We start from the raw sequence: 15,459 nt of genomic DNA on the forward strand, positions 1-15,459 counted from the left end.
TAAGCCACAGAAGGGCAAAAAAAGGAGGTCTCGGTTAGCCGAGACACGGAGGAAACAAAAGAAAACAAACAATAAATCTGTGGACCTAAACACTAGCCCAGAGATCATGGAAATGAACTAGAAACATGTATGAAAAGGTAGATACTGGCAGAGTCAGTGAGAAACACGGTCTGATTATCCCATGTTTATATGAAACTCAGTTCCACTTCGGTCGCCCTGGGTAAATGAAAAGGATACAACGGGTGGGAAAAGTCACATCAGGTAAACATTAATTAAAACAGCAGAAGTAGGTATGTCAACATTAGGTAAAGAGGACTTCATCGCAACGAAAATTACAAGAAAAATAAAACGCTACAGCCGAATAAAAGAATCAAGCCCCCAAGAAGACTTTAGAAGAGTCTTTCCGTGCCCCTCCCACACGCCCCTCCAATTACAGTGTGTGGGCGTTCCTCTCTGTTCCCAGAGCCCCTGGTTCTTATTTCTGTCAGAGCAAAGTGTCCCAAGGTGTTGGGGACTGTATTTGCATACACCTGATCCTAAATGAATGTGAGTGCTTTGGAAAGCCTGATGCATCTCCACATCCCAGCGCCCAGGTGAGGGTATCTGGTGCCCGGCAGGTGTTTGCTGAACGCCTCATGACTGCCTTTCAGGCCAGCGAAGGCTGTTGTGATAGGGTCAAGGGAAGGGTCTCTTTACATCGCATTCAACAAGGGGCCAATCCTGCTGGCGCAGGCAAGGAGGCTGCTCAGCGACTGACGGGGAAATGAGGGTGGGGTGTGGGCACGCGCTCCGGAGGCTGCAGGCGCCATGGGCAGAGTGAGGAACCGCGCCACTGCTCAGCGGCGGAGGCGAAAGCGGCCCGGGGATCCTCCCGCCGCCTGCGCGGCCATCGCGGTCACGGGCGCCAGCCGCGCGCAGTGCCCCCGGGTCCAAGTCGGGGTCGGGAGCCACGCGGCGGCCAAGAGGTGGCTGGGTAGGTGGCGACGGAAGCGCCGCTGGCGGCGGGTCCGGAAGGCGGGCCCCAGAGACCTGCTGCCCTCCGCGCCAACCCCGGACCCGCCGGGGCCCGCCCCGTCCCCCAAGGATCTGGACCTGGGCGCACAGCGGGAGCGCTGGGAGACGTTCAGGAAGCTGCGGGGCCTCAGCTGCGAGGGCGCCGCCAAGGTCCTGCTGGACACCTTCGAGTACCCGGGCCTCGTGCATCACACCGGGGGCTGCCACTGCGGCGCGGTCCGCTTTGCGGTCTGGGCCCCTGCAGATCTGCGCGTCGTGGATTGCAGCTGCAGGCTGTGCAGGAAGAAGCAGCACCGCCACTTCCTCGTCCCGGCCTCGCGCTTCACGCTGCTCCAGGGCGCAGAAAGCATCGTCACCTATCGGTCCAACACGCACCCGGCGCTGCACAGCTTCTGCAGCAGGTGCGGGGTGCAGAGTTTCCACGCAGCTGTCTCTGACCCCCGCGTGTACGGCGTCGCCCCGCACTGCCTGGACGAGGGCACCGTGCGCAGCGTGGTCATCGAGGAGGTCGGCGGTGGCGACCCGGGGGAGGAGGCCGCCGAGGAGCACAAGGCCATCCACAAGACGTCCTCCCAGTCAGCCCCTGCCTGTCCCCGCGAACAGGAGCAGTGATTGGGGCCGCAAGCCCGCCTGAAACCGGCCCGGGCGGCCCTGCGGGGAGCGTCCGAGTACCTGCACAGATCCCATGCTGTGAAAGAGGTGTTTCTGGCCTGGTCACACCGGGGATTCCCTTCCAGTATTTGCCCTTCCCCTCCGCTAGTTTTCAGTGAACTCGCTTACGATCCAAATCTTGAACACACCTTTGTCTGCGTAGTACAACGTTAATCTTGCAATTCGGTAAGGAAGAAGAGTGTCTCTGATTTTTCAAACCATCCATTGTATCTCTCGCTTTTACTGTTCTGCCTACAGTTGTCACAAATCACCTGCAGATGATTCCTGTGTACTGTACGTTCCTGGTGCTATTGTGAACAGGCTTGTTGTTTTCAGCGCTTTGCCTCTGGTGTGTAGGACGGCAACACACAACCAGTTTGTAAACATGTGCTAGGACGTCTTCCATTGATTATGGTGTGCGTGGGCTCCCGCACCTGTGAGTTTCAGGTAGACGTTCATATTTTCACTGCTTAGATTCGAGTTATGCTATTTACTGGTTTTTAAATGATATATTTCAAGATTTGGTCGTGTTACATACCTCATTACTCTTTATTTCCTGTAACAGCGAAAGCTGTTACTATTTCGCTTGTTGTTTGGGAAGTGTCTCTGGGTAAGGAGATGGGGATACAGGAATGAGAAAGACATCTGTGCACACAGGAATGAGAAAGACATCTGCGCACTGTCTGCCCTCTTTAATCTTTTGAAATACCTGTCTTGTACATGTGTTAAGTATATAGAAATCAGTAAATACCTTCTAGGAAACTATGTGTGTTGGTGTGTCTATAAAGTCCGGCTTGGCTATGTATGGCAAGGCTTGGTTTTTGAAGGTACTTGGTCTCAGATTATTTCAGAAGGTGGTGGTGACTCTGGCTTTTGTAGTAGAGAAAGCTTCCCCAGGGTCCCCTACCTTTTGATGAGGGGAATTAGCAGAGGGTTTACACATTTGGCCTCTGGGGACACACTACCTGTGTTTGAATCCTGGACCTGCCGCCTGCTCGCTGTATAACCGGTATCGAGTAGATTAAACCCCATTCCTCAACTTGCTCTTTCCTCAAGAATGTTAACAGCTAACAGAGTGTTTGTTCTTGGGGTAAACACAGTGCCTTGCCTTGACTACCTGATCCATGAATGCTTGTTTTCTCAATTTCAGGCCCCCAAAACTCCTCCTATCAAGGCACCCAGACAATATGAAACCGCATTGTTTAGGGGCGTCCATACACATGGGAAAACCATGAATTAGGCAGTGAAATAATTTAAGCCAGCATCAGATTAGGGTTTAACTCTATGGAGGAGGAATGGCTTTGAGTGGGGGTGGGGGGAGGGGAGGGTGTCCTGCATTCCTGTTCCTCTTGCTGTGTAACAAACAGCCCCACAGTGAGTCCATACAATGACGAGCGTTGTATCATATGCATGGAATTTCAGAGGCAGGAATTCAGAAAGGGCACAGTGGATATGGCTTGCTTCACATGAGTCTGGGACCTCAGCTGCAGAAACCTGACTGGCTGGGGACTGGAACCATCTGAAGGCTCATTCACTGACATCCCTGGTGCCTGCATGGAGAGGACTGGAAGACTAGGCCTGGCGAGTGGAGGGCCTCCGTATTACCACTCCGTGGCCTTTGGCTTCCTCACAGCAGGGTGGGCCTCCCAGTAGTCAGGCTTCCGACCTCATGACTCAGGCTCCAAGCGGCACTTTTCCATATCCAAGGTGAATGTTGCATCACCTCTCATAGGCAAGACTCAGAAGTCATGTTGAGTCAACTGTGTCATACTCTATTGATTAGAGGTGAGTCACAGCCTTTTCAGATTCAAGCGTGGGAGGGAGATTAAATCGCAGGTCTCGGTGTGAACGGGGCAACTTTTATCACAGCACGAGAGATGGGAGATATTTTTGTGGCCATACAGTCTGGCACAGTGGGCTCCTAGGGAGCTGGTTATGTTTCATTCGGTTCTCCCACATGGTGGCCACTCAGATGTGTTTAACGGGTCACATATTTTTTTGTGTACAGCTGTGTATGATTGAAGACATAATAAGGAAACAAAATAGGTGACTGACTCCTATCTCTGAGCAAGACCAAGAGCAGACTAAATGAATGACTGGAGGTACGGAGGGAAGACGACAGTCAGAAGGGGGCTGGCTGGTTAGTCCTGGAGCCGACCTTGGCCATGCCCACGCAAACACAGCCCAGGGTAGAAGTCTTATTAACTTCGGGACCATCGGTATTTCTGACCCCCCCCAGAAATCTTTAACTTCCTGCTAGTTGCATATGCTGGACTGCCTCAGCCCCACGCCACTGACTGTCCCTTCCCCTCTCCTTTTTAAGCCCGTTGTTCACTTGTTCATCCATTCCACAAGCATTTACAGTGGGTTTGGAATGTGTCAAACAGAATGTGAGAAGGACTTAAGGCTATGGACAAAAAGTGGAGTTGGGTAAAGATGCTCAAGCGAGGTTCTTAGAATGTAGCTCAGCTCTTCCATAGAATACCATAGGGAAGGGAATGGAAACACCCCCCTCTCAGTAGAATGGAAGAGCGCATCTGGCACCGATCCACAAAGGCCGCTTGTTTGTATGCTGGCTCTTCAGATGACATCTTAGGATGAACTCCAGACTAGAAGGTGAATTTCCTTTCTGACAAGCGTCAAGGAAAGACTTAGAAATGTGTTTAAAAAGGAAAATTCCCAGCATGAAACCAAATGGAAGACAAGATCACTGGTCATAAAATATAACTAGAAATAGATGTAATGAAAATGTTTATTATTATACATAATTTCTATTATTTTGTTTTATTTTTTGAGACAGATATTCGCTCTGGTGCCCAGGCTGGAGTGCAGTGGCTCGATCTCGGCTCACTACAGCCCCCACCTCCCCTGCTCAAGTGATCCTTTCACCTCAGCCTCCCAAGTAGCTGGGATTACAGGCACGTGCCACCACAGCCCGCTAATCTCTTGTATTATTTGTAGAGACGGGGTTTCGCCATGTGAACCAGGCTGGTCTCGAACTCCTTAGCTCAAGCTTCCCGACTGCCTCGGCCTCCCAGAGTGCTGAGATTACAGGTGTGATACATAATTTGTACATGTGCCTTTGAAAATGAAAAATATGAAATAGACCTAAGGACTCTCTCTCTCTCACAAATACTTCACGTGTGTTCCTTTATTTACTTCTCACTAAAGTCTTTCAGAACACCTATTGTTAATCTCAATTGGTGGAGAAAGAAACTGAGACGCTGATAATGGAAGGACCAAGCCCATGGATGCCAAGAGGGCAGGTGGCAGGAAGAAGTTGGAAAGCCAGGGTGATTGGATACCATGGTCAGTAAGGACTGGGGAAAAAAGTAGCTCTCAGGCACTTCTGCCCCATTCATCCTGGCCCCTCTCTGTTTTCATGGATCCAACTCTCTACGCATTTCACCCTATCTCCTCCTCACATCAAAAGCAGCTCTTCATCCCTGGCCGAGATCCTGTGGCCAGCTGCCCAGTGCACGCCACCATGACGCGGGCCTCCTATAAAAATCTGAAATGACCGTAGATTGGATGTTCTGCTATTTCATGAGCCCCCACGTTGTTTCTTCATGTGCCAATATACTTGTGTCTATGGCCACAAACAACCTGCATATCACAGTTTGGAAAACACTTATTTTGAGGACAGAGGCTTTGAACGGATATCCACCTGGGCTTGTGTCCCAACTCTGCTACTTGTTCCTGCCTGAAATGGCAACAAGTTTTAAAAGTTGCATTCACCTTCTCTGTGAGGCTTCAGTGAGAGCATGCCCATGAAGGAATGATGGAGCCTAGCCTATATAAGCACTTACTGCATATGAGCCCTTTTTATTCGTCTTCTTGTTGTTTGAGCAAAAATCCAAATGCAGCTTTTGTCTTAACTGCACACAGCCTGAGGTGTAGGCAGTACTTCCAGGACCACTATCTCAGGAGCCGTCATCCACATTTCTTTGATGTAAAAACTGAGCGTAAAGCAATTCAGCTACAAAAAAAGTAGGAGGAGGGAAGAACATAGGCCTTCCAGTTCCTTATTAAGTTCCAACTTTCCCTAGACACTGTCGTCTCCCAATGTATGGCGTGAGGAACAGAGATAGCCTTTTCCATTCAAAACTGTGTGACGGGGGCACGGGTCAGCAAAGTACAGGGTCCTGCAGGAGCACAGCGATAGGGCACCCTCTGTCAGACAAGTCAGTACACCGTTCTGGGCCTTGGTTTCCTCATCTGTACAACGGCGACAGAATTACATATATCTTAATTTGCTGAGCATTTTAAGTGAAGTGCTGGAAGGAGAATATAGAGCTCCATGCCCTGATGCGTCAAATTGTCAAGAAATGTCATCCACTGTTCCTAATATAACTTATGTCATTATACCCCGATATTTGGACCAAAGGGACCTAGACCCTATCGCTTTTGCCTGGGACTCCGCAGTAAGTGCCTCAATGAGTTACCCTAATACCTTTCCCCTCCTCTATTATGACCAGGATCAAGGTTTTTCTGGGAATGGCACCACAGTTTCTGTGACTCCACCACAATTCCTGAGACTTGACTCTGAGCCACTATCACAGTCTGCATGCTCTTCCCAATGTGAGGTGTGCGGTTGGTGGGGTTGATGCCATCACTGTCTCTCACTTAAATAGTAGACTTGAAGTGAGCGAAGGCTGTTCTCATGGGTCAGGATGTAAAAGATGTAAGCAACAGTGACTTCGGACCCAGGAGTGGACATTGGAGAAATTGTTAACAGCCGGGGGGAGCTGCAGATACCAGCTGGGGAAAACCAAATTATAGCCGCATGGTCTCTGAGATAAACTCTCATCATCACAAGGTGGCAAATTCCTGCCTCTAGAAGACCCAGGGAGTTTGCTCCCGGCATCCCAGAGATAGTTGTTTAGGACTCGCATCTCTAAAATAAGTATTTCCAGTATCACATGCAGGCACAAGGGTGTCCACCGGAAAAACCGTCTTGCCTGAGTATATCTTCTTGCACACTGGAAAATCTTGCCTAGAGACACTTTGACGAACATTCTCTTTCCCATTTTCTTTCTGCCAACCTGAATAAGATCTTGCTAAGTATGGGATATTAAAAACTATGTTTCAGGAGATTGCATTTCTGGCTACATTGGAGGAAAAAAACACCACATTGATCCTTCCCCCGCAAAGCAACGAAATAACCGAGATGACAATGGTTTCCAAGATATTGGACCTAATGCAATGGAAGAGAGCTATCTGCAAGACAGAAGAAAGAGACATGTCGAGCCGCACGCCTGTCTCAGCCTACTGGCGGGAGGAGGAACTCAGGCGGAGCCACGTTGTCTCCCCGAGTTGTGGGGTACGTGGTAGGAACATGAGTCCTCCTTAAAAAGGAAAGAAATCCTGCCATTTGTGGCAACATGAATGAACCTGGAGCATGTGAGGTCAAGTGAAATAAGCCAGGCACAGAGAGACAAATAGCAAGTGATCTCACTTATATGTGGAGTCTCAAAATTGGAACTCATAGAAGCAGAGAGTACAAATGGTGGCTACTGGAGGTTAAGGGTTGGGGGGCATAGGGAGTGTTGGCAATGGATAGAAAATTTCTGTTAGACAGGGGGAATAAGTTCAAGGGAGCTATTGTAAGTCATAGTGGTTATACTCAATAGCAATAGATTGGTTATTTGAAAATTCGTAAGACAGTAGCTTTTAGGTGTTTCTACCCACAAAAAACAAACAAACAAACAAAAAACTGATAAATATGTGAAGGGTGGAATATGTTAATTAGTTTGATTTGGCCATTCCACAACATATACAGATATCAAGCATCCTGAGGTACACCATAAATATATACAATGTTTACTTGTCAATTGAAAAATAAAGAAAGAAAGTAATTTCACAAAATGACGAGGGACCGCCAGACGCAAAAGAATGGATTGGACCTTACCTCACACTACATACAAAAATTAACTCAAAGCAGATCAGAGACCTAAATATAAGAGCTACAGTGATAAAACTCTTATAAGGAAATATAAGACTAAATCTTACATTTCTCTTCCGTAAGTCTTACGTTGTGACCTTCCCTTAGGCAAAGGCTTTTGTGTGTGTCTGCATTCAACACCAAAGCACAAGCAACAAAACAAAAAAGTAGATAACGTGGAGTTTTAGACAACCCGTAGAAAATGCATCTGATCATAGATGTATCCAGGATATACAAAGGACTCTGATGAATCAACAGTCAAATGATGACCTAATTCAAAAAGGAGCAAAGAATCTGAATAGACATTTTGCCAAAGAAAGTACACAAATGGCCAATAGGCACACGAAAAGCCACCCACAATCATCATTAGCCAGTAGGGAAATGCAAATCAAAACCACAATGAGCTACCACTTCACACTCAGTAGGATGACAAGAATAAAAAAGACAGGCGATAACAACTGCTGACAAGGATGTGGAGAGATTGGAGTCCTCATACACTGCTAGTGGGACTATAACATATAGGGCAGCCTGGTTTGAAAGAATTTGGCTGCTCCTCAGTACCAGAAACACAATTTCCATATGGCCCAGGAGGTCCACTCTTAGCTTTCTACAAAAGAGAAATGAAACTCTATGTCCAAACAAAAACCTGTACACAAACATACACGGTATCATTATTCCTAGTGGTCAAAGATTGCGAGTGGCGCAGGCGTCCATCAGTTGATGAACTGACGGATGGAATTTAGTTTCTCCATTCAGGGGAGTGTGGCTTGGCAACAAAAAGGGATGAAATACTGATACATGCCATAACATGCGTGAGCCTAGAACACGTGATGCTGCATGAAAGAAAATCACAAAAGACCACATATTATGTGATTCCATTTGGAAAAACGTCCAGTATATGTAAACTTATGGACTAAGAAATTTGATTTCCATTTGCTTGGAGAAGGAGAACAGGGTGGGAAGTGACTGTTAATGTGTATGGGGCTTCTTTCCAAGGTGATTATAAGGTTCTAAAATGAGATTGTGGTGATGGTTGCAGAACCTTGTGAATATGCAGAATGAAAAGAAAAACACCTGAATTGTACACTTGAAATGGGTGAAGATTATGGCCTGTGGATTATATGCCAACAAAGTCTTTTTTCAAAACTACCATTTATCGTCCACTTTATGTACACTTACCTCTATTTATTTCCAAATGTACATGAGTAACATTCATGTCCACTAATTGGTTGAGACTTTTGAAAAGCACTGATAACCTGATGTATTTTTGGGAGATGAGAAGCAGAAATCAATGGTTAACGTGTAGTTTGGCAAGAGCTGTGACCGCTGTGAAACTTCATTTCCTCATCTTTGAGGTAATTACTTCTACTTTGACATGACATTGTGGGAATTAAATAACAATGAATATGAAACATTCAACTGAGTGCCTGGGATTAACAGCCACTCCAGGAAGGGTGAAACTCATATTACTTACTAGAGTACGGGGAGGATTCTTTAAGAAGGTAAATGTTTAAACAATGTACTGAGTCTAGTATGTCAATTTCTTTTTTTTTTTTTTTTCCAAGAAAGAACAAGGTTCAAGGTATCTGTGACAAGTTACCCTGGTGAGTGCAACCATTTTGGAGTTATAACTGTGTTCAAGTCCCGGATCCCACTTACTAGCTGTGTGACCACAGGCGAGTGACTGAAATTCTCCCTTGCAGTTGTCTCACCTCTGCCAACTCTGCATCGCTGCCACAGCGATACTACTACCTTCCCTGGAGGGTTGCTCTGAGAATAAGAGATTAGAATGATAAAAATGGAGTTTGTCACTCCTGCATTTTCACTTTCTCCCTTTCTAAGGTCTCCTTCTCCTGATTCTAAAAATGTATTCAAGTATCCTTCAACCTAAATAACCTTCCTTTGTCTTCCGCTCTACCTACCAAACTCTTCCTCATTTCCTTTTAAATGAAGTACCCTGGACTTCTCTTCCTCACTCTTCAATTTCATGTAGTCTGTCTTCATTCACGTGGGCCCCCGAGCTGTCCCAACCCCGAGCTGTCCATAAGGTAACAAGGATGTCCTAACTAATGAATCCCAATGGACTCCTCTCTCCCTTATGATCTGGCCTTACATCTCCACAGCATAACCCTCCCTCCTTCCTTCACGTCTGTGGTACTACTTTTTCTCCTAGTTACTATCCTATTCCTCGGAGATTTCTCTCTCCATCTCCTTCCTGGACTTCTGTTTCCCTGTGTTCTTCAGTGTTACTATTCCCTAGGTTTGGTCCTCGGCCAGCTCTTTACAGGCTATCTTGCCTACATCCTGGGGTGAATTAACTCACGCTCCTGGCTTCGCCTGACTGATTGTTGAGAGGATTCACAAACGTGTATTCCTGGTCTGAAAGTAATTGCTGAGCACCACACTGAAACATCCAGTTGCCTTCTGTACATCCTGGATGTTTTCACAAGCACCTCAAACGCAGATCTATCTCTCAGTGCACTCCCCTCACCTGCAAATGTGTGCACGCCCCTGTATTTAATGCTTCAACTGAGTACTCTAGCATTGCTCAGTCATCCAACCCAGAAACGTTCCCTTACCAAAGACCGGATGAACTTAGGCCTGAAGTCAAGAAACAGCAGAAGACTGGGGAAAAGTCAGATGAGTCCGGAGACCAGTACCACGGACAATCGTAGACATCAACCTCAACCAAGCCCTATATGGGGGTCAGTTAGTCTACTGTATTTTCCCAACCAGCTCTCTCTCCAACTACCTGTAATGACCATTTATTACACAACTGTACGACTCTGGAAACCCCTGATCTCCTTTCCCTCATTCTCAGAAGCTGGCCGCACCTCCTATTTTCCTGAGAAAATCCAAGACCTCAGGAAGGACTCTCTCCATTTCCTACCAGCAATTGTAAACACCTACCTGCATGTACAGGTACAAGTTGTTGCCTTTCCTCCATTTATGACAGAACATCCCTCCTGCTCTTTCCGGGTGATCCTTCAATGTGTGCTTTGAATCTCACTGCTCCTATCTTCCCAGGAATCTTATAGCATCCATCATCCATTTACTCCCCTGATTGCCCCTGTCAACTTCAACCTGCCCTTCCAAATATATCTTTCCAATAGCACTAAATCACGCACTGGTCATGAAAACCTTATAATGGTAAAAATCAACAATCAAACGCTCAAAGCACCCTCCGTCTTCTCCATTTTACCCTGCACCCACTACCTCATCTCCTTCCATTCACAATGAAACTTGGAGCTCTCCACACTTGTCATTACTTCATCACCTATTCATCCTACAACTCATTCTTTTCCCCCAAATCCCAATGAAATGGCTCTCTCAAAGGTCACCATGGTGTTCATAATGTTGAGCACAATGGAATGTTCTGTCCTCATATCATTTTATAGCTCCAACTCTATGAACAGGAGGAAACACTCTTCTTTTTGAGAAACTACCATTGAGTTGTCAGTTTGCAATTTTCCTTTGAATGGGCCATACTTTCAAGTTCCCTTGTAGGCTTTTGGATTCTTTTGTTGCTGCTGAAAACTAGGTCTTTGATTGTGGTAATGTGGTAACACTGAATATTAGATCCTCTACCTTCTCCAGGATTTGCAGTTGCTGATTTCTGAAAGCTGCAGTCATTGATTTGTCTAGAGGGTTTTCCAAACTCTTTTGGGAGAGCCTGCATTCGTTGTCACATGTGGCCACTGAACTCTCTGTTCCTTTAGTTTGTTTTCTGCTTGTATTTTGACAGCAATTTCCTTGACAGCCCAGAGCTTAATAAAAAAAAAAAAAGCAAAAAGTTCCTCTGTCAGCCTTTGTGGATTCGCTCTGGGCTGCAGCACTCCTTCAAACCTCAGCCAGGCCACTTACAACTCTGTCTTGGCTGTCACTTCCTGTTTAGACTGAGTCCAGAGATCAGCCGGTGAAAGCTTAGGGTCTTCTCGGGTCTTTCCTGAGCATGCATCCAATCCTGGGCACGCACCTGGCTTTTGACAATCCCCAGGGTACATGACTGCTTCCGAATGATCTAATTTCCCAAATGGCCTGTCCGCCAGCGTATCCCCCAGGTTTTGGGTTATCTGCTATAGGTTTCAACTGTAGTTTCTGCCTCACGCAGTTGCCGTTTTTTGATTTGCCTTATAAGGTTTTCAGGAGCTGCCCAAGCTTTTTCTGCCCTGACTTCCCTGTTAGGTCAAACAGAGAGGAGCATTTTGCTTCTGTCCTTCAGGAAGCCCCTGGACGGGTTAGAACCAATGAAAACCATGATTTTTGCATAAGCTCTGCTCTCTCCTTCCGGAACCAGGTACCAGGGTTCCACACGTGGGATGCAGGCTGCTGGGTGCAATGCCGCCACCAGGTCAGGGAGAAGGTGGAACAAGGGCAAATGAAAATGCTACAACGTTTACCTATGAAACACTCAGATGGTTGGGAGCCTTAGAATTTTATTTCCGGCTTACAATAATTTTACTTGACATGTCGAGACTTATACCATGCCACATGCTTTGCTAAGTACTTAGCACGTAGTATGTTATTTGAGTCTTACAAAAACCCTATATGGTTTTTTCAATATCTATATCACTGATGAGGAAACTGAGGCCACAGAGAAGTTAGGTCATTGCACACAAGTAACATGTGGTAGCACGGCCAGTTTCACGAAACTGCAACTAAAGTGGTCCCACACGGCTCCATGCTCAGAATGGGTCCCTGGGCTTGCGGTTTAGTGTGGCTGTCTTGAAATTCTTAACTATTTCTTTCCTTGAATTTGTGCTTGGTAGGTGAGGTGTGATGAAACGGTGCAGTGTGTGCTGGGGTCCTGGAGCCTCAGCTATCATGTGGTCCAGCTTCCACCACCTCCAGGCCTCACTGGGACAGGTTCTCTGCTGCCCAATCACCCACCCACCCTCTCAGACTCCCCTTCCCTCTGCCAACCCAGCGACTGCTGCTGCACTTCACCCTCAGGAGAAGGCCTGGGTGTGGGTGCAGGGAGGGGCAGGGTGGGAATGCCAAGCCACAGGGCAGGGCTCTGGACACCTGGGAGGATCTCCACTCACCCTATGCGTGTCCCCTTAACTGAGGCAGCACCACATTAAATTACAACTACAAAAATCCTGAGAGGTCAAAACAGAGATTGAGTCAGAAAAGAAAGTGAGATTTTGCTGCTTCTGAACAGTGGACCCCACATGCTCCTGTTATATGAGGTCCCTCCTTATATCGTTTGACCTGCTTAGTAGAGAAGGGTCACAAATTCAGGCTTGCATAGCTCCAAAGCCTGTTATTTTTTTTTTTCTTTTCTGTTCTTTCCTTTAGCAAAGATTAAGAAATGGAATAGGTGATACATGCACACTTGGTGTAAAATTCCAAAGTTTCTAAACTATGTGCAGGCAACGGATTCTTCTCACCTCCATTGCTGAACCATCCAGAACTCATTCCCAAAGGCCACTCCTCTTTCCCACCAGGCTTTTAGATACCCTTCTGGAGGAACATCACTGGTATTCAGGCATATACATCATCCAAACTCCTCTTTCTGTATTAAGGCGTGTACCAAACGCTGTGTTGACCTGGCATTTTTTCCATCTCAGAATGTCTCCTGGAGCTGAGTGCGGTGGCTCATGCCTGTAATCCCAGCACTTTGGGAGTCCGAGGTGGGTGGATCATCTGAGGTCGGGAGTTCGAGACCAACCTGACCAACATGGAAAAACCCCGTCTCTACTAAAAATACAAAATTAGCCTTGCATGGTGGCACACGCCTGCAATCCCAGCTACTCGGGAGGCTGAGGCAGGAGAATCACTTGAACCCGGGAGGCAGAGGTTGTGGTGACCTGAGATCGTGCCATTGCACTCCATCCTGGGCAACAAGAGCAAAACTCCGTCAAAAAAAAAAAAAAAAGAAAGAAAAGAAAAAGAATGTATCCTGGAGTACTTTCTGTGCTTAATACAGGCAAAAGTTATAGCGTGCTTGCTATGCCATTGCTGTAAATGCTTCAAATCAATTAAACTCATCCTCACCAAAACCTAGGGAAGTAGGTGCTTTCCTCATTTTGTGCATGAGGAGTGAAGAGCACATGCAATTGACATTACTTGCCGTAGGTAATACTTCTAAACGAGGGAAGAACCAGGATTTGCACCCATGCAGTGTAGCTCCACAGAGGTAAAAGCATTCTGCTCTATGCCATGCCTGCATGGTATCCTTTGATACGGATATATCCTTTTCTTTATTTAGCCGGTGCCCTGTTGACACAGGGGTTTGCCCAGGCTTAGGCTATTACAGACAATACCGCATCGAGTAAACTAACATGTTATATCATTCCATACAAGTGCAAGTACATCCAAAGGACAAATTCATAGCAGCAGGATTTCTGGAGGAGGGGGGTAAAGCACACACAATGTGGACAGATACTGCTAAATTGCCTTCTCTAGGTGTTACATCAAGTTACACCCATACTAACAATGCAGGAATGTGACTCTTCCCATATCCTCACCAAATCAGTCTGTTTCAAACATTTGCATATCTGTCCATAGGATAGATCCTGGACAGTATTTTATTGTGCTTCAGAAACCCATTTCTCTTATTAGGAGTGAGGCTGGGAAGTTTTATATACATTTGGGAGCTTTTTGTGTTTTTCTTTCTGTGAACTGTTCAGGCATACATATACAGAGACTGACTAGCTGTCCTCCAGACCTGTTTTCTTTTCCTCCTGGGGTTTCCCAGCCTCCTGGCAGGTAACTGTGGCTGGTGGACTGAGGCCTGGGCAATGGATGGTGGGCCCGAGTGGCAATTCTCCCAAGCATGATTCATAAAAACCTCCTATGAGATCCTCCTACTCTTTCTTCCCCATCTGCTGGAAAGATGTTGACACCCAGAGCGACTTATAGAGCCAGGTGTTGAAGATGGCAGAGCTTCTGTCAGCCTGGTCCTAGATTGTTTTCAAAAAGAAGAGCCAACCCTCCCCAGTCCTGTTTCCTTTTGGAAAAATGTAGGCAAGAAAAATGTTCATAGTGTTAGGCCACTAAGAGGTTGGAGTTCATCTGTTACAGCAGCTAGCGTTATCAATGACAATAGAGTAGGCTTAGTTCCTTTTTTCAAAAAATGAATCCACTGATGGTATTTACTTATTAGGGAAATCCACCCTTTGTCTGCGATATGATTGGCAAGCACTTTTCAACTTTGCTTCTTGAATTTTATCTTTACTTTAGGTGGATTTAGCTTGCAGTATCTTCTTCTAGTCTTCATGCACTTAAACTTATTACCTCTTCCTAGTAGGAATTCCGGTGTTGTGACATACCTCCAAAGACTGTCAACTGCAACACTGCATCTGAAACTCTCTCGGAGAGGCTCATAGATTCCGTCTTTTCCACAGGTTGTTTCATCATGAATGAATGATGACTTTTACCAAATTATTTTCTTGTATCTATTGAGGTGGTCACATTTAGTTTAGTTCTTCCCTTTAATCTGTTCAAGTGGTGAATTACATTCATTTCTTTTCTAATGTTAAACCAACCTTGCTTTGCTAGAATAAATATAACTTGGTCATAATATAGCGTATTAGTCTGTTCTCACACTGCTATAAAGAAATACCTGAGACTGGGTAATTTATAAAAGAAAGAGGTTTAACTGGCTCATGGTTTTACAGGCTGCACAAGAAGCATAGGGGCTTCTGTTTCTGGGGACGCCTCAGAAAACTTACAATCATGTCCCAAGGCCAAGAGGAAGCAGGCACCTCTATACAAGGCTGGAGCAGGAGGAAGACAGATTAGGAGGTGGTGCTACACACTTAAAGGACCAGGTCTCCTGATAACTCACTATCAGGAGAAAAGCACCAAGGGGATGGTGCTACACCATTTATGAGAACTCGGTC

The 15,459-nt window shown here is 46.3% G+C and overlaps 1 protein-coding gene across 1 annotated transcript; it reads left to right on the top strand.

Annotated features, from left to right (window-relative positions):
- The first annotated feature begins 807 nt into the window (after positions 1–807).
- Positions 808–2,427, top strand: CENPVL1 (centromere protein V like 1). The gene has a single exon (NM_001355277.1). The coding sequence runs from the start codon at positions 808–810 to the stop codon at positions 1,624–1,626; it is 819 nt and encodes a 272-aa protein (NP_001342206.1). The 3' UTR covers positions 1,627–2,427.
- Positions 2,428–15,459: the final 13,032 nt, after the last annotated feature.

Source organism: Homo sapiens, chromosome X (genome assembly GCF_000001405.40).
Source record: "Homo sapiens chromosome X, GRCh38.p14 Primary Assembly".
Lineage (NCBI taxonomy): Eukaryota > Metazoa > Chordata > Mammalia > Primates > Hominidae > Homo > Homo sapiens.

What these genes read in the sequence shown, in the direction of transcription:
- CENPVL1 (NM_001355277.1), top strand. Translation starts at nt 808, where the DNA reads ATGGGCAGAGTGAGGAACCGCGCCACTGCTCAGCGGCGGAGGCGAAAG.